At 42.6% G+C, this 18854-nt stretch overlaps 2 long non-coding RNA genes across 3 annotated transcripts in view; one reads left to right on the plus strand and one right to left on the minus strand.

The window, feature by feature from the left end:
* Window positions 1-18854, plus strand: part of LOC105372473 (uncharacterized) — a 38797-nt gene that overhangs the window by 13336 nt on the left and 6607 nt on the right. For both annotated transcript variants that reach the window (XR_001754023.3, XR_936110.4), the window contains exon 3: window positions 16956-17025. This is a non-coding gene — a long non-coding RNA (uncharacterized LOC105372473). The remainder of the gene's footprint in view (window positions 1-16955; window positions 17026-18854) is intronic.
* LOC105372472 (uncharacterized) overlaps window positions 3968-18854 on the minus strand; it is a 69204-nt gene continuing 54317 nt past the window's right edge. The window contains exons 2-3 of the long non-coding RNA XR_936108.3: window positions 9043-9198; window positions 3968-4008 (exon numbers count right to left, since the gene is read on the minus strand). This is a non-coding gene — a long non-coding RNA (uncharacterized LOC105372472). The remainder of the gene's footprint in view (window positions 4009-9042; window positions 9199-18854) is intronic.

Genomic DNA, 18854 nt, shown 5'->3' on the forward strand with positions numbered 1-18854 from the left:
ATATAAACCACCAATCCAGAGCCCACATCCCACCCACTCTCTAACAGGGCGCTATACTCACCCCAGGGCCAGGTATCACACCACTAAGAACAGCCCTTTTCCCCAGATCCCACTGAGGTTATCCAAAGTGACCAGCCCTAACCTATGAAATCTGCCTCACTTCTTCCTTTCCACAGAAACTATAGCAAAGTCTTGTCCACACCCACATTTCACTCACCTCCTTCTGACTCCTGGCAGATCCTGGCGCTTTCCCCATGGGGCTGCCTGAGCTGAGACGGGCTCTCTTCTCCTGGAAACTGAGTAACACAATTTATTTCAATGACAGTCACTTCCTCATCTGTTGGCCTCAGCGTACCTCCAATTTTCCATTACACAATAAATGGAAAATAATATAGGCCGGGTGTGGTGGCTCACGCCTGTAATCCCAGCACTTTGGGAGGCCGAGGTGGGTGGATCACCTGAGGTCAGGAGTTTGAGACCAGCCTGACCAGCATGGCGAAACCCCATCTCTACTAAAAATAGAAAAATTAGCTGAGCTTCGTGGCTGGAGCCTGTAGTCCCAGATACTTGGGAGGCTGAGCCAGGAGAATTGCTTGAACTCAGAAGGCAGAGGTTGCAGTGAGCCGAGATCATGCCGCTGCACTCTAGCCTGGGAGACAGAGCGAGACTCCATCTCAGAAAAAAAAAAAAAAAAGAAAATTGAATTGGGCCAGCCCCTCCACACCTGTGGGTATTTCTCATCAGGTGGGACGAGAGACTGAGAAAAGAAATGACACAGAGACGAAGTATAGAGAAAGAACAGTGGGCCCAGGGGACCAGCGCTCAGCATACAGAGGACCCGCACTGGCGCCAGCCCCTGAGTTCCCTCAGTATTTATTGATCATTATTTTTACTATCTTAACAAGGGGAGCGTAGAAGGACAACAGGTGGGGAGAAGGTCAGCAGGGAAACGTGCGCAAAGGAATCTGTATCATGAATAAGTTCAAGGAAAGGTACCGTGGCTGGATGTGCACGTAGACTAGATTTATGTTTCTCTTTACCCAAACATCTCAGTGTAGCAAAGAGTCACAGAGCAGTATTGCTGCCAGCATATCTCACCTCCAGCCACAGGGCGGTTTTCTCCTATCTCAGAATAGAACGAATGGGAATGATCGGCTTTACACCCAGATATTCCATTCCCAGGGACGAGCAGGAGACAGAAGCCTTCCTCTTATCTCAACTGCAAAGAGGCCTCCCTCTTTCACTCCTCCTCCTCAGCACAGACCCTTTAAGGGTGTCCCGCTGGGGGATATAAGGTCTTTCCTTTCCCATGAGGCCATATCTCAGGCTATCTCAGTGAGGGGAAACCTTGGACAATACCCAGGCTTTCTTGGGCAGAGGTCCGTGTGGCTTTCCGCAGTGCATTGTGTCCCTGGTTAATCGAGACTGGAGAATGGCGATGACTTTTACCAAGCATACTGCCTGCAAACATATTGTTAACAAGGCACATGCTGTACAGCCCTAAATCCATTAAACCTTGATTCAATACAGCACATGTTTCTGTGAGCACAGGGTTGGGGCTAAAGTTACAGGTTAACAGCATCTCAAAGTAGAAACCATTTTTTTTGGTACAGATCAAAATGGAGTTTCTTATGTCTTCCTTTTCTACATAGACACAGTAACAATCTGATCTCTCTTTCTTTTCCCTACAGAAAATAATATGGAGATGACAGTGTCTTGTACAACTGTGTGATGGCTTGTCTCCCCATGTCTGTGTGATTGTGTGTCCTTGAGTGTGTTGGATGGAGTGTCCTTCTGTGTGTGTGTGTCTGTGTTTCTCTCTGACTCTGTGCGGTTGAGGGCGTGTGGTCTCTCACGTATGATTGGATGTGACTGCGGATCTCCATGTGTGATTATGAGTCACGCTTCACCGGAAAGTTTCTATCTCAGCCTGGATGAGCCACAGGAATGTGTGTGTTCAGGTTTGCTGTGTGTCTGTGTCTGTTTGACCTGGGCTGTTGTGTGTGCATCTTAGTCTGCTGTGTTACATCATGTGCCGTTGTGTGTGACTCTCTCTAGGACAGCCCGAGTGTGACTGTGATCATAGAGGGGATGAAGCCCCCTGTGTGTGGGTTTGTGACTGTGAGTGTGTGCTCCAGTTAGGAGGGTTTTGAGCGCTCATGTGAGTGTGTGGGAAGATTGTGGATTAATTTGCTATGGCTGCTGTAACAAAACACCACAGACTGGGTGGCCTGGGTAGACTGGGTGGCTTAACCTAATACTAATAGAAGCTTATTTTCTCCCTGTCCTGGAGCCTGGAGCCCAAGATCAAGGTGTCGAAGGAGCCTGTGTTCAGGAGGCCTCTCTCCTTGGCTTCTTGGCGGCCGTATTCTCTTGGCGTCCACACTAGGTCTTTTTTTTTGTATGCATCCCTGGTGTCACTGTGTGTGTCTAACTCCCTCCTCTATAAGGATGCCAGTCAAATGGGAGTAGGGCCAGTCCAAAAGCCTCATTTAATCCCCTCTTAAAGGCCTTGACCCCAGATAGTCACATCCTGAGGTTCTGGAGTTTAGGGAATCACCAAATAAGTTTTCAGGAGAAAGCAGTGAGCCCATAACAGTGTGTTTGTGTGTGGATGTGTGGTCATGGGAGATGCTGTGAAGGTTGCCATTGTGTCCACATGACTGTGCGTGAAACAGTGATTCATGCAATTATGAAACCCATGTTGTGTGAGTTCCACAAGACCAAGGCACCTTTTATCCACTAAATGTGCACATGTCTGTGTGTGTGTGTGAGTCCCACAAAACTCAGGCATCTTTCATCCACTACCTGTGCATGTGTGTGTGTGTGTGTGTGTGTGTGTCCCACAAGACCCAGACACCTTTCATCCACTACATGTGCATGTGTGTGTGTGTGAGTCCCACAAGACCCAGGCACCTTTCATCCACTAAATGTGCATGTGTGTGTGTGTGTATGTGTGAGTCCCACAAAACTCAGGCACCTTTCATCCACTAAATGTGCGTGTGTGTGTGTGTGTGTGAGTCCCACAAAACCCAGACACCTTTCATCCACTAAATGTGTATGTGTGTGTGTTTGTGTGTGTGTGTATGAGTTCCACAAGACCCAGGCACCTTTCATCCACTAAATGTGCATGTGTGTGTGTGTATGAGTTCCACAAGACCCAGGCACCTTTCATCCACTAAATGTGCATGTGTGTGTGTGTGTATGAGTTCCACAAGACCCAGACACCTTTCATTGTGTGTGTGTGTGTGTGTGTGTGTGTGTGTGTGTGTGTGATTGAAGGAGATACTATTTGTGGATAAATAAATTGAAACCTCAGGCCACTTTCCTGTCTTATATCAACCTTATTAGAATCCTGCCCACCCCAAATGCGCAATTCCATAGGTAGAGCAAGATAGGTCCTAGGATCCATCTGGGAAGTGCCCAGGATGCCCTTCCTAGGATGCTTGGAGACAGGATTGGAGCAGGTGATGGAAGCATGGGCTCAGGGCCAGGCAGTCTGGAGACCTCTCCTCTCTGAGCCCAGTGTTGCCTGTAAAATGCAGACACTCCTAGGACCTCACTCACAGCCAGGGGTGCGGGAGATGGCCGTGCATATTGTACTGTGCACTTCGGCTCCTGTTCAAAAGGATACGTGGGATGTGAAACCCAGCCTGCGCTCTCTCCACAGCTGTGTCCATGCCAGGGCCAGAATTCCCACTGGAGTATGACATTGGTCCATCCAAAGTCCCAGAGCCTACCATGGCCATGTGCACCGTTGTCACTTGGGGAAAAAATCTTCTTAAACAGATAAACAAACATGTGCAAATGCATATATTTTAGAGTATCATCTTGTTTTTAAGCCTGGGCAACATGGTGAGACCCCTTCTCTACAAAAAACAATTAGCTCGGCGTGGTGGTACAAGCCTGTATTCCCAACTACTCGGGGACTGAGGTGGGAGGATCGCTTGAGCCTGGGAGGTCGAGGCTGCAGTGAGCTGAGGTCGTGCCACTGAACAGAGTGAGACCCTGTGTAAAAAGAAGAAACAGGACAAAACAAAAACCAAAAACCAAATCTTAACTTTTGTCCGCTAATTTGAAGGAACGCGTATGAAATCACGTTGCTGTCACTAGATGGCACTTTTGCACCATGAAAAAAATAGGCTCTAATTATTATTTTTTTTTTTACTTTTCAATTTTCAATTGTGGCAAAATACATATTACACAGAATTTACCATCTTAAGCATTTTGTGACTAATATGTGAAAGATATATTACTAATATCATAAGCCTGTGATATATGCCTTTTTTATTTTTTTAAACTATGGTATTTATCATTTTAAATATAGTCATGAATCGACAACAGGGATACATTCTGAGAATTTTGTGGTTAGGCAATTTTGACATTGTGTGAACATCTTAGAGTGAACTTACAAACACCTAGACGGTGCAGCCTACTACACACCTAGGCTCTGTGGTATAGTCTGCTGCTCCTAGGACACAAACCTGCGTGGCACGTTGCTGTACTAAATACTGTAGGTACCTGGAACACAGTGGTATTTGTGTATCTAAACATAGAAAAGGTACAGTACAAATTTGGTACTATGATCTTATGGGACCGCTATAATATATGAGACCTATCATTGACTGAAATGTTACTATGCACCTCGTGACTGTATTTTTTTTTTTTTTTTTGAGATGGAGTCTTGCTCTGTCACCCAGGCTGGAGTGCAGTGGTGCCATATCAGCTCACTGCAAGCTCCGCCTCCTGGGTTCTCACCATTCTTCTGCCTCAGCCTCCCGAGTAGCTGGGACTACAGGCGCCCACCACCACGCCCGGCTAATTTTTTGTATTTTGGTAGAGACGGGGTTTCACCATGTTGGCCAGGATGGTCTCGAGCTCTTGACTTTGTGATCCACCCTCCTCGGCCTCCCAAAGTGCTGGGATTACAGGCGTGAGCCACCACGCCCGGCCATGACTGTATTTTGAGTGTGCATCACTATTAAGTACATTCACTTGTTCTGCCACAATCTGCACCATTCCTCTTCAGAGCACCTTTCTTCTTGGAAAACAAGAACTCTGTGCCTATTAAGCAATAACTCTCCATTTCTCCTCCTTCCAGCCTCTGGAAACCACCCTTTTTATTTTTCATTCAGGAATTCTGACTCTTCTAAGTACCTTGTATACCTGGAATCATACAGTATTTTGTCCGGTTGTGATGGGCTTATTTCAATGAACATTGTTCCTCAAAGTTCATCCAAGTCATAGCATGGGTCAGAATTTCCTTTCTTTTTAGGCCCGAATAATATGCCATTGTCTGTATAGACCCCATCTTGCTTATCCATTCACCAATCGATGGAGACTTGAGTTGCTTCCACTTTGACTATTATGAATAATGCTGCCATGCACGCGGTTGCACAAACGTCTCTTTGATTCTCTGCTTTCAAAACTTGTGAGTAAGATTCAGAGGTAAATTGCTGGTTCATGGGTAATTTTATTTCTGTTTTTTCAGAACAGTCGGATGGTTTCCCACCACAGCTGCATCACATCACGATCGCACCAACGGTGCAGGTGTTTCAGCCTCTCCAAATCCTGTCAGTGTTGTTATATTCTGTTTAACGGATAGTGACCATGGAAACGGCAATGAGTTAGTTCCTTATTTCTTTGCCAGGGAAAATATTGCTTTCATTTTTAATACTTATTACTTAATCATGGTATATGTCTTTGGTTATACCGTGGCAATGGCTACTGAAGAGTATCCTGACACATGGATGGGGGTCAGGTCTTGACCTCTGGGGTGCTTTATTGTTAGGGCTGTTGTTAGAGTTGGCAGCAGTTGGATGAATAATGGAATATGATGAGGTGGAAGTTGTAATTGATTTTTTTTTTTTGGAAACAGAGTCGTTATCTGTCACCCAGGCTGGAGTGCAGTGGCATGATCTCAGCTCACTGCAATCTCTGCCTGCCAGGTTCAAGCAATTCTCCTGCCTCAGCCTCCCGAGTAGCTGGGACTACAGGCGCCCGCCACCATGCCTGGGTAATTTTTGTACTTTTAGTGGAGATGTGGTTTCACCATGTTTGCCAGGCTGGTCTCGAACTCCTGACTTCAGGTTATCCACCTGCCTCGGCCTCCCAAAGTACTGGGATTACAGGCGTGAGCCACCACGCCTGCCCAACTGATTTTTATATTATGGTATATTATGGAAAATTGTGTAATTTTTGAGGGCGAGGAGGTAGGATTATTGTGTGAAGATTCTTTAGGTGAGGCAGCCTTGTATAGTTACAGATGCTGATTGGTGGTGGTTGCTGGTCGATCTGTATTTGTGAGCATTTATCTTGCAATTGAGCGTACTCAGGGGAACAGGTTAGATAACTAAAAATAGAGTTAGAAGAGACAGGATAAGGAAAGAGAAGAAGTAGAGTTTAATTAGGCCTTTTTGGGCGGATATGAAAGTGGAGGCTGAAGTTTGGATTTGGACAATGTTTTTTGGTATTGATTTCTCTAGTCAGATTAGTCTAATAGAAGAGACACTAAACATTGACTTGTGTCTAGATTTGTGTGCGGGGTTGTATGGTGTACTGTGATTGGATAAAAACCTAGTATAGGCCGGGTGTGGTGGCTCATGCCTGTAATCCCAGCACTTTGGGAGGCCGAGGAGGGTGGATCACCTGAGGTCAGGAGTTTGAGAATCAGCCTGACTAACATGGAGAAACCCCATTTCTACTAAAAATACAAAAATTAGCTGCGCGTGGTGGTGCATGCCTATAATCCCAGCTACTTGGGGAGGCTGAGGCAGGAGAATCGCATGAACCCAGGAGGTGGAGGTTGCCGTGAGCCAAGATTGCGCCACTGCACTCCAGCCTCGGTGACAGAGCGAGACTCTGTCTCAAAAACAACAAACAAACAAACAAACAACAACAACAACAACAAAAACCTAATATATTTGAGAACTTGAATGTTTGTGATGGGTATTCAAGTTTAAAGTCATTGGTTATGAGATTAAGATCTGTTGCTACCGAGAAGCCCGTTGGGAATTGCACAGCTTCTCAAACCTTGGACCCAGATTGGCCCACGCCACCCTCACTCCTCATCCATGTTGATTTCAGTTGGTTATTGCTGTTCTTCACGGTGACCACTGACACTCCAGCACCACAAAGATGTCAGCAAAGGAAATGTAGAAGGATCTAAGGTGGAGACTGTGAACCCCTGGAGCCTTTAGTTCATGTGGTGTCAGGAGATATTGAATATTGCCGTTCTTCCCTTAAATTTCAAGCATAGAGGTAACTCTGCAGACACTTGCAGCTGTGAGGATGGAGCAGAAGGAATGCTGTACGTGTTCATTGGAGGGGGAGAGAATGGAGGCGCTAATCTGGTTGCCAGGCAATGCTCAGTGTCCTTGGAGATGACTCATGGTGGAATTAGAATGAGAACACGCAGTGGGGGAGGGACTCTTCTGAACCAGCAAAATGCAGCTGTAGAGACTAATAAACTGTATGGAAGTCCCACAGTCTTCCAAATGGATAATCTGTCATTTGTATATTCAGATAATCTCCATTTATATTTTCAGGTCTCTTATTTGTATATCTCCCAGGCCACTAGTTCTCAAAATATTGTTCAAAACCTCATGGCAGAATCAAGATCCTTTCAAAAGGCACACAATTCCAAACTATTTTCCTAGGAACATTAAGATTTTATTTGCCTTTTCTCTTCTTAGCTTTTTCTGCAAGATATAATGTTCCAGGTGTTTGAATTCAGAAGATGATTGGAGGGGATTAAAGGGAGTTGTAAAATGTTAGACAAGGCTGGGTGTGGTGGCTCATGCCTGTAATCCCAGCACTTTGGGAGGCTGAGGCAGACAGATCACCTGAGGTCAGGAGTTCAAGACCAGCCTGGTCAACATGGTGAAACCACGTCTCTGCAAAAATACAAAGAATACAATAATAGACAGGCATGATGGTGGGTGCCTGTAATCCCAGCTACTCGGGAGGCTGAGGCAAGAGAGTTGCTTGAACCTGGGAGATGGAGGAGCCGAGATGGCGCCACTGCATTCCAGCCTGGGCGATGGAGCGAGACTCCCTCTCCAAAAAAAAAAAAGAATCCCACAGCCCCACCATTGACGATGACCTGTCCATGGTGTTGAAGGACCCATTGGATCTATGAACTCTTACACAGGTAAGGGAGGTAGTTGATGCCTACTGACTTATGCAATGGCGACTTCAAAGTATATTTCTAAAATAAATTGAAACCAAGATTCCTTGTTTGATAACCAAGAAAAGAAGACCCCAATTGGGTCGTGTTCTGCCCACATCTTCACATAAAGACTGATTATGCATTTATCTCATCACTCAGCATTAGGGTAGTAAGTGCCATGTGTTAGCCTCCTCCTGTTGGGATCTGAGGGCCACAAATTATCTTTTCAGTGACAGCTGTTTTCTGATTGATTGACATCACCTTACTTCATATTTTCTATGAAGGATCCATCTTTTACGTCAATGTGGAGGTGAAAGTTTCCTGAGCGACGGTTTGATAGCCCATCTCCCTATGTCTCTGTGATTGTGTGTCCTTGACTGTGTTAACTGTGTGTCCCTCTGTGAGTGTGCGTTACCTTGTTTGTGGTTGTATTTCTCTATGATTCTGTGTGGTTGAGAATGTCTTGTCTTGAATGGATGATTGGATATAACTATGTGTATGTGTGTGTGTGTGTGTGTGTGTGTGTGTCTGTATTTGTATTTGAGTTCAAATAAGCCTGCAGCACATTGTGTGTTTGTGTCTTTCTGTGTGAATGTGTCTATGTTTGATCAGGAAATGCTGGTGATTCTTCATCTTGGGTGGTTGTGTTTTATCGTCTGTCATTGTGTGTGACTCTAAGAACTGTCCACATGTGATTGTACTTGCATGAGGGATGAAGCTCCCTGTGTGTGAGTTAGTCACGGAGTTTGTGCACTGGTTAGGAAAGTTTGCATCTTGAGCGTGTGTGAAAGTGTATATACTAATTTGTTAGGGCTGCCAAAACAAAACGCCACATCCCGGGCAGCTTGAACAACAGACATGTATCTACTTACCTTTCTGGAGGCTGAATTTTGAGATTAAGATGTCAGCAGGGCTGGTTTCTCTTGAGGCTGCCTCTGTAGATTGTGACCAATGCTTTCTTGCCATCTCTAACAGTCTTTCCTGTGTGTGTCCATCTCTGATGTCTCTTTGTGTCCATATTGCTGCTTCTATAAGAAGAAATTGGATTAGAGCCCACCCTAAGGACCTCATTTAACTTAATCATCTCTTTAAAAACCATATCACCAAATACAGCCACAATATGAAGTACTGTGTTTGGGAAGAGGAGGCAGTATTCAGATCATAACAGTGTGTTTGCGTGTGGATGTGTGCATGCTTAAGAAGTGGTTTGAAGACCATTTATTCTGCATGGCCTTGCGTGAAAACATGTGATTCATACTATTACAATCTCCTGCATATAAGCTAGGCTAGCTTAGTGTGTGTGTGTGTGTGTGTGTGTGTGTGTGTGTGTCTGTGACTTTATTGGAGTTTTGGAGAATACTTCAGGGACATACAAATTGGGTTCTATTTCCACTCTCCCTGCCTTATACCTACTTCACTAGGACCCTGCACACTTCAAAAGCCCCATCCAGAGGTTGAGGAACAGTTTCAGATCTGGACTCTCTTCTCTGGGAAGTGCCCAGAATACCTCTCCTTAGATGCTCAGAGACAAGATGGGAGCAAGTGATGGAGGCATGGGTCCAGGGCCAGACAGCCTAGAGACCTCCCCTCTCTGAGCCCAGCGTCCTCCACTGTAAAATGCAGACGCTCCTAGGACCTTACTCACAGCCAGGGCTACTGGGGATGATGGGATGCCTGTGCATATTGTAGACTGCACTGAGGCTCTGATCCAAGGAGATGACCTGGATGTGAACTCCAGCCTGTATTCTCTCCATAAACTGTGTCCAAGCCGGGGCTTCAGGCTTCCTACCATAGCGTAGCATTGATCTCTCCAAAGCCAGGAAGCCTACCATGCCCATGTGTGCAGTTATTGTCATTTTGGGGAAAAACCTTATTAAACAGAAAAGCAGACTTATAAAAACATACCCTTAGCCGGGCATGGTGGTATATGCCTGTAATCCCAGCTATTCTGGAGGCTGAGGCAGGAGAATTGCTTGAACCCAGGAGGCGGAGGTTGTGGTGAGCCAAGATTGTGCCATTGCACTCCAGCCTGGGCAACAAGAGCGAAACTCCATCTCAAACAAACAAACAAACACAAACAAAAAAATACCCATTTTGGCAGGGCACGGTAGCTCACGCCTGTAATCCCAGCACTTTGGGAGGCCGAGGTGGGTGGATCACCTGAGGCTGGGAGTTGGAGACCAGCCTGGCCAACATGGTGAAACCCCCTCTCTACTAAAAATACAAAGATTAACAGGCGTGGTGGCACACGCCTGTAATCCCAACTACTTGGGAGACTGAGGCAGGAGAATCGCTTGAACCCAGGAGGTGGAGGTTGCAGTGAGCTGAGATCGTGAAACTGCACTCCAGCCTGGGTGACAGAGTGAGACTCTGTCTCAAAACAAAAAACAGAAAACAAAAAACAAAACAAAAAAATACTGTCTTAATAATATCTTTTTGTTTCCTCCTTTCTTCCCATTTGAAGGAATGTCTGGGAAATTTTCAAATGCCTTTGCTTACGCTAGATGGCAATCTGGCATCATGGTAAAATTGGCTTTTATTTAACTTTTTTATTTTTACTTTTCAATTTTTAATTGTAGCAAAATATATATTACACAAATAAGCCATCTTAAGCATTTTGTTACTAATATGTTAATAATATGTTACCCATAGAATAAGCTTATTATTTTAATTTTTTTTTATATTCTTAAACCGTGGTAAAATAGTACAATTGAATATTCACCTTTTTACCTAGAGTCAGGACTCACCTAAGGGCAGAGATGTGTTCTGAGGATTGTGTTTTTAGGTGATATTGTCATTGTGTGAACATCCTAGAGTGTACTTACACAAACCTTGGTGGTAGAGCCTGCTGCTCCTAAGCTACAAGCCTGTTCAAGATGCTACCGTGCTGAATTCCATGGGGGACTTTAACACAATGGTAAGCATTTGTGTAACTGAACATGTCTAAACACAGAAAAGATACAGTAAAAATTTGCTGCTAAAATCTTATGAGACCACTGTTCTGTATATAATATAATGTCATTGACCGAAATGTTGGTATGTGGCTCATAACTGTATGTGTGTGTGTGTATATATATATATATATATATATATATATATATATATATATATATATATATACTTTTTGGAGACAGAGTCTCGCTCTATCCCCCAGGCTGGAGTGCAGTGGTGCGATCTTGGCTCACTGCAGCCTCTGCCTCCTGGGTTCAAGTGATTCTCATGCCTCAGCCTCCCGAGTAGCTGGGATTACAGGCGCGCCACCACGCCTGGCTAATTTTTGTATTTTTCGTAGAGATGGGGTTTCGCCATGTTGGCCAGGCTGGTCTCGAACTCCTGACCTCAGGTGATCCACCTGCCTTGGCCACCCAAAGTGCTGGCATTACAGTAGTGAGGCACCGCACTCAGCATATATATATATGTGTATATATATGTGTATATATGTGTATATATGTGTGTATATATGTATATATGTGTATATATGTATATATGTGTATATATGTATATATGTATATATGTGTATACATATATGTATATATGTATACATATATGTATATACGTATACATATATGTATATATGTATATACGTATATATGTGTATATATGTATATACGTATATATGTGTATATATGTATATACGTATATATGTGTATATATGTATATACGTATATATGTGTATATATGTATATACGTATATATGTGTATATATGTATATACGTATATATGTGTATATATGTATATACATATATATGTGTGTATATATATATAGTTTGTTTTTATTTGTTTGTTTTTGAGACAGAGTCTTGCTCTTGTCACCCAGGCTGGAGTGCAGTGGTGTGATCTTGGCTCACTGCAACCTCCGCCTCCCGGGTTCAAGCGATTCTCCTGCCTCAGCCTCCCGAGTAGCTGGAACTACAGCATAACTATATTTTTAAGTGTAAAGTTCAGCAATTAAGTACATTTACTTGTTGTATCCTAATCTGTCCCATACATCTTCAGAACTCCTTTAGTCTGGGAAAACCACGACTCTGTACCCATTAAGGAATAACTCTCCACTTCCCTTTTCCAGCCCCTGGCAGTCACCATTTTATTTTCTATTTCTATGAATTTGACTCTTCTAAGTACCTCGTATACCTAGAATCATATATTATTTGTCCTTTTGGTGTGGATTTATTTCAATTGACAGCATTCTTCAGGCTTCATCCAGATTGTAGCACCTGTCAGGATTTCCTTTACTTTTGTTCAATTTTTATTTTGGAATCATGGGATACATGTGCAGGTTTGTTGCAAAGGCACGCTGCCTGATGCTGAGGTTTAGCATGTGACTGAAGCCATCACTCAGGTAGTAGGCATGGTGCCTGATAGGTAGTTTTTCAACCTGTGTCCTTCTTCCTCTCTCCCTTGGCTGTCCACAGTACCTGTTGTTTCCATCTTTATGTCCACGTACGCCCAATATTTAGCTCCTGCTTATAAGTGAGAACATGTGGTATTTAGTTTTCTGTTTTGAGGTAATTTGCTTAAGAAAATGGTCTCCAGCTGCATCCATGTTGCTGCAAAAGACATGGTTTCATTCCTTTTTTTTTTTTTTGAGGTGGAGTTTCGCTCTTGTTGCCCAGGCTGCAGTGCAATGGCATGATCTTGGCTCACTGCAACCTCCACCTCCCGGGTTCAAGTGATTCTCCTGCCTCAGCCTCCCAAGTAGCTGCGATTACAGGCGCATGCCACCATGCCAGGCTAATTTTGTATTTTTAGTAAGAGATGGGGCTTCTTCATGTTGATCAGGCTGGTCTTGAACCCCTGACCCCATGTGATCTGCCCACCTTGGCCTCCCAAAGTGCTGGGATTACAGGCATGAGCCACCGTGCCTGGCTGGTTTTATTCCTTTTATGGCTGCATAGTATTCCACAGTGTATGTGTGCAACACTTTCTTTATCCAATCCACTGTTGATGGGTACATAGGTTCATTCCATGTCTTTGTTGTTGTGAATAGAATGGTAATGAGCATACAGGTTCATGTGACTGTTTAGCAGAATGATTCATTTTCCTTTGGGCATATACCCAGCAATAGGATTGCTGGGTTGAATAGCAGCTCAACGCTTAGTTCTTTGAGAAATCTCCAAACTGCTCTCCACAGTGGCTGGACTAATTTACACTAATTTGCATTTCCACCAGAGTATGTAAGCGTCCCCCTTTCTCTACAGCCTTGCTGATATGTTATTTTTTTTGACTTTTTAACCAAAACTTGGTTAACGAGCAACTTGGGTTGCTTCCACTTTTTTTTTTTTTTTTTTTTTTTTTTTTGAGATGGAGTCTCGCTCTGTCGCCCAGGCTGGAGTGCTGTGGTGCCATCTCGGCTCACTGCAAGCCTGCCTCCCAGGTTCATGCCATTCTCCTGCCTCAGCCTCCCAAGTAGCTGGGACTACAGGCACCCGCCACCATGCCCGGCTAATTTTTTTGTATTTTTAGTAGAGACGGGGTTTCACCGTGTTAGCCAGGATGGTCTCGAACTCCTGACCTCATGATCCGCCCGCCTTGGCCTCCCAAAGTGCTGGGATGCTTCCACTTTTGACTCTCATGACTAATGCTGCTATGCCCATGGGTGTACAAATATCTCTTTAATTTTCTGCTTCCATTACTTCTGGGTAATATCCAGAGGTAGAAAGATAATTTTATTTTTATTCTTTTCAGAACTGTTGTAATTTTTTTTTTCACAGAATCTGCATCTCATCACAATTGCACCGAGAGTGCAGATGTGCCAACTTCTCCAAGCCCTGTGGGTGGTTGTTATCTTCTGTCTTATGGATAGTGGCCATGAACATGGGAATGAAGTGGTTCATTATCTCTTTGCCAAAGAAAAAAATATTTCTTTCACTTTTCAATAGTAATTACTTAATAATGGGATGTATTTGTTGGTTCCTGCACAACTTCTCAAATGTAGGAATCAGACTAGACTGTGTCACCCTGATGTCCTCATCCTCATTGATTTTCATGTGGTTATTGTTTTTTTCATAGATACCACTGATAACCCAGCATCACAAAGATATGATGACTGCAAAAAATAAAAATAAAAAAATGAGAGAACCAATGTAGAAAACATGAATCCCTGCAGCTTATACTTAATGACTTAATGTGGTGACAGAAGATATGAAATATCACCATACTTCCCTTAAAACTAAACTGTAGGGTTACCTCTTTAGACAGATGTGGCTATAAGGTTATAATAGCGGGAATGCAATGCATGTTCATCAGATCAGGGAGAGAATGGAGAAGGTGACCTGGTTGCCGAGCAACCCTCAGTATCCTTGGAGATGAGTCACCATGGAAACAGCAATAACTCTTCATTTCCTTTTTTCCAGCCCCGACAACCACCATTTTATTTTCCATTGCTATGAATTTGACTCTTCTAAGTACCTCATGTACCAATAATCAGGTACCTAAGTACCTCATATTCCTGGACAGTTGTGGGGGACGGCGGGGAAGAAGTTCCTCCTCAGCCAAGGGAGCTGTGGAGACTAAGGAAAGTGATTGGATGTTCCACAGTTTCTTTCATGGACAACCTCTTGTTTACTCAAATGATCTCCACTTATAATCTCCTGTATATCATTTGTATATCTCTTAGATCACTTTTTCCCAAAAATGTAGTTCCAGGACTCCGGGGGGATTCAAGATTTGGAATGCACAATTCCAAATAATTGTCCTAAACACATGAAAAGTTTATTTGCATTTTCCCTCATTTTCTCTGGATGACATAATATTGCACATGTTTGATTTAAGTGGACAATTTGATCATAGCCATCTAGTGGTAAGGAAAACATTAAAGATATTTGCAGAAATGAAAAGCAACACCACCTTTATTGCGAAGTTTGTTTGGAAAATGCAAGCGTACATTTTTCTGTTGTGCTTTGTTTCACTGCGCTTCACAGATACTGAGTATTTTTGAATGGAAGGTTTGTGCAAGTCTGCATTGGCAAGTCTGAGAGTGCCATTTTCCTAAAGTATGTGCTAGAGAGAAGTCAGTGCCTGGCTTCAAAGCTTCAAAGGACAGGCCGACTCTCTTCTTAGGAACGAATGCAGCTGGTAATGTTCAGTTAGATCCAATGCTTTTTTTACTATTCCAAAAGTCCTAGGACTCTTTATTTATTTATTTATTTATTTTGTGAGGCAGAGTCTTGCTCTGTTGCCCAGGCTGGAGTGCAGTGGCACAGTCTTGCCTCACTGCAACCTCCACCTCCCGACTTCAAGTGATTTTCCTGCCTCAGCCTCCTGAGTAGCTGGGATTACAGGTTGCACCACCATGCCCGGATAAGTTTTGTATTTTTAGTAGAGACAGGGTTTTGCCTTGTTGGCCGGGCTGGTCTCAAACTCCTGACCGCAAGTGATTTTGCTGGTTTTGGCCTCCCAAAGTGCTGGGATCACAGGCGTGAGCCACCATGCGTGGGCTAAAAATTCTAGGACTCTTCAGGATTGTGCAAAACCTACTCTACCTGTGCTCTATAAATGGAACAAAGTCAAAATATCAACATCAATAGGAGTTTGAAAGAAGTTGATTCCAACTCCTATTTGATGACTTTGTGGGGTTCAAGAGTTCAACGGAGGAAGTCACTGCAGATGTGGTAGAAAGAGCAAGAAAACTGGAATTAGAATTAGAGCCTAAAGATCTGACTGGATTCTGTAATCTCATAAGAAAGTTTTAGCAGATGAGTTGAGGAGTTGCTTTTTTTTTTTTTTGAGAGACAGAGTCTCGCTCTCACTCTGTCGCCCAGGCTGGAGTGCAGTGGCACAATCTTGCCTCACTGCAACCTCCACCTCCTGGGTTCAAGCGATTCTCCTGCCTCAGCCTTCCGAGTAGCTGGGACTACAGGCACGTGTCACTATGCCTGGCTATTTTTTTTTTTTTTTGTATTTTTAGTAGAAACAGGGTTTCACTGTGTTAGCCAGGATGGTCTGAATCTCCTGACCTTGTGATCCACCCGCCTCAGCCTCCCAAAGTGCTGGGATTACAGGAATTGCTTCTTTTGAACAAGCAAAGTAAGTGGTTTCTTGAGATGGAACCTACTCCTTGAGAAGATGCTGTGAACATTGTAGAAATGACAACAAATAATTTAGAATTTAGATTATATTCTCCAGTTCACAATATCCCCACCTTAATGTAAAATATATTATTGCTAAAAAATTATAAGAATCACCTGACCCTTCAATGAGTCATAACCATTTTTCTGGTGGAGGGTCTTGCCTCAATGTTGATGGCTGCAGACTGATCACGGTGGTGGTTGTTCAAGGTTGAGGTGGCCGTGGCAATTTCTTAAAATATTTCTTAAAATATTTCTCTGTAGCATGTGATGCTGTTTGGTAGCATTTTACACACAGAACTTCTTTTAAAATTGAAATCCATCCTGTCAAAACATGCTGCTGCTTTATCAATTAATTTTACATTTTATTTTTTATCTTCCAGTTTACAAACCCCAGCCCCAACATTCATTATGTGGGTGATCATGAAGAAGCTACCTGTCCGTTCTGATCCTCACAATACATTGTAAACAATCAATAAATAATAGCTTGTTTTTTTTGCATTTCTAGTGTAAATATGGAATACAATTCTATTGTGATGATACAGCAAAAAAAGTGTTAGAAAGAAGAGTCACTTTCTTTGTGAGTTTTTCCCCAACCACAGTATCCACAATTGTTAAAGCAATTTCCTCCTCAATATTGTCATAAAAGATGTGCTAGTTTTTTTCTTCCCCATCTCTCATGGTGAAATAACAGATAGTTTACCTGTTTTCCCCTCCAGGCCATGAACTCTGAGAATTTGGGCTGCATTTTTAAAGCTGTATCACTGGCAGTTTGTACTCAAAAAGCAGGTAAATATTTCCCTGGTTACTCCTTGATTTTAGAAGGAAACACAATACACCTAAACCTATAGGATAGAGCAAAAGCAGTACTAAGAGAGAGGCTTATAGCAAAAAACTCATACTTAGAGAAGTAGAGAGACTTTCAAATAAATACATTAATCATCCACCTAGAAAACCTAGAAATGCAAGAACAAATCAAACCTAAAATTAGTAAAGAAAAGAAATAAGGAGCAGGGCAGAAATAAATAAAATTGAAGCCAAAAACAATTACCAAAGATCAATCAGACAAAAAGTTCATTTTTGGAAAAGATAAACAAAACTGAGAAATCTTTAGCAGACTATGAGAAAAAGAAGGGAAAAGATCCAAATAAATAAATCCGAGACAAAAAGGAGACATTAAACTGCTACCAAAGAAATATGAAGGATTATTAGTGGCTATTTTGAACAACTATTTTCTAATAAATTGGAAAATCTTGATTCTTCCTATCCATGAGCATGGAATGTTCTTCCATTTGTTTGTGTCCTCTTTTATTTCGTTGAGCAGTGGTTTGTAGTTCTCCTTGAAGAGGTCCTTCACATCCCTTGTAAGTTGGATTCCTAGGTATTTCATTCTCTTTGAAGCAGTTGTGAATGGGAGTTCACTCATGATTTGGTTCTCTGTTTGTCTGTTGTTGGTGTATAAGAATGCTTGTGATTTTTGCACATTGATTTTGTATCCTGAGACTTTGCTGAAGTTGCTTATCAGCTTAAGGAGATTTTGGGCTGAGACGGTGGGGTTTTCTAGATATACAGTCATGTCATCTGCAAACAGGGACAATTTGACTTCCTCTTTTCCTAATTGAATACCCTTTATTTCTTTCTCTTGCCTGATTGCCCTGGCCAGAACTTCCAACACTATGTTGAATAGGAGTGGTGAGAGAGGGCATCCCTGTCTTGTGCCAGTTTTCAAAGGGAATGCTTCCAGTTTTTGCCCATTCAGTATGATATTGGCTGTGGGTTTGTCATAAATAATCTTGAAAAAAATGAATAAATTATTGGGCACATTAAACCTACCGAGATTGAAACATGAAGAAATAAACCACTTTAATAGACCAATAACAAATGACTATATAGAAACAGTTAAAAAAAAGTGTTCCATGAAATAAGAGCCCAGGACATGATGGTTTTACTGCTAAATTCTAGCAAACATTTGGATGAGAACTAACGCCAAATCTACTCAAACTCTTCCAAAATATTGAAGGGAAGAGAATACTTTCAAACTCATTCTATGAGCACAGAATTATCCTGATACTAATGTCAGAAAAAGATACAACAAAAAAGGAAAACTATGAGCCAATATTCCTGATGAACATAGAAGCAAAAATCCTCAAGAAAATGGTAGGAAACTGAATTCAACACGTAAAAAGATCATTCATCATGATCAAGTAGAATTCATCCCAGGGATGCCAAAGAGGTTTAACATATGCAAATAAGTGAACACATTAGCAAAATCACAGACAAAAACCATATCATTGTTTTAATAGATGCTGAAAAAGCATTTAATACAACTCAATATCCCTTCATGAAAAAAACTGTTAAACAGGGTATGAAAGGAATGTGCCCCCAGACAGTAAAAGCCATGTGTGACAAACCCACTGCTAACATCACAATAAATGGAGAAAAATAAGAAGGCTTTCCTTTAAGATCTAGTATAAAGGAATGAGGCCCAATTTCACCACTTTTATTCAGCACAGTTCTAGAAATCCTAGCCAAAGCAGTTAGACAAGAGAAAAAAGTAAAGGGCATCCAAACTGGAAAGAAAGAAGCCAAATTGTCCTTGTTTGCAGATAACATAATCT

The sequence above is a fragment of the Homo sapiens genome, chromosome 19, assembly GCF_000001405.40.
Source record: "Homo sapiens chromosome 19, GRCh38.p14 Primary Assembly".
In the NCBI taxonomy this organism is placed as follows: Eukaryota; Metazoa; Chordata; class Mammalia; order Primates; family Hominidae; genus Homo; species Homo sapiens.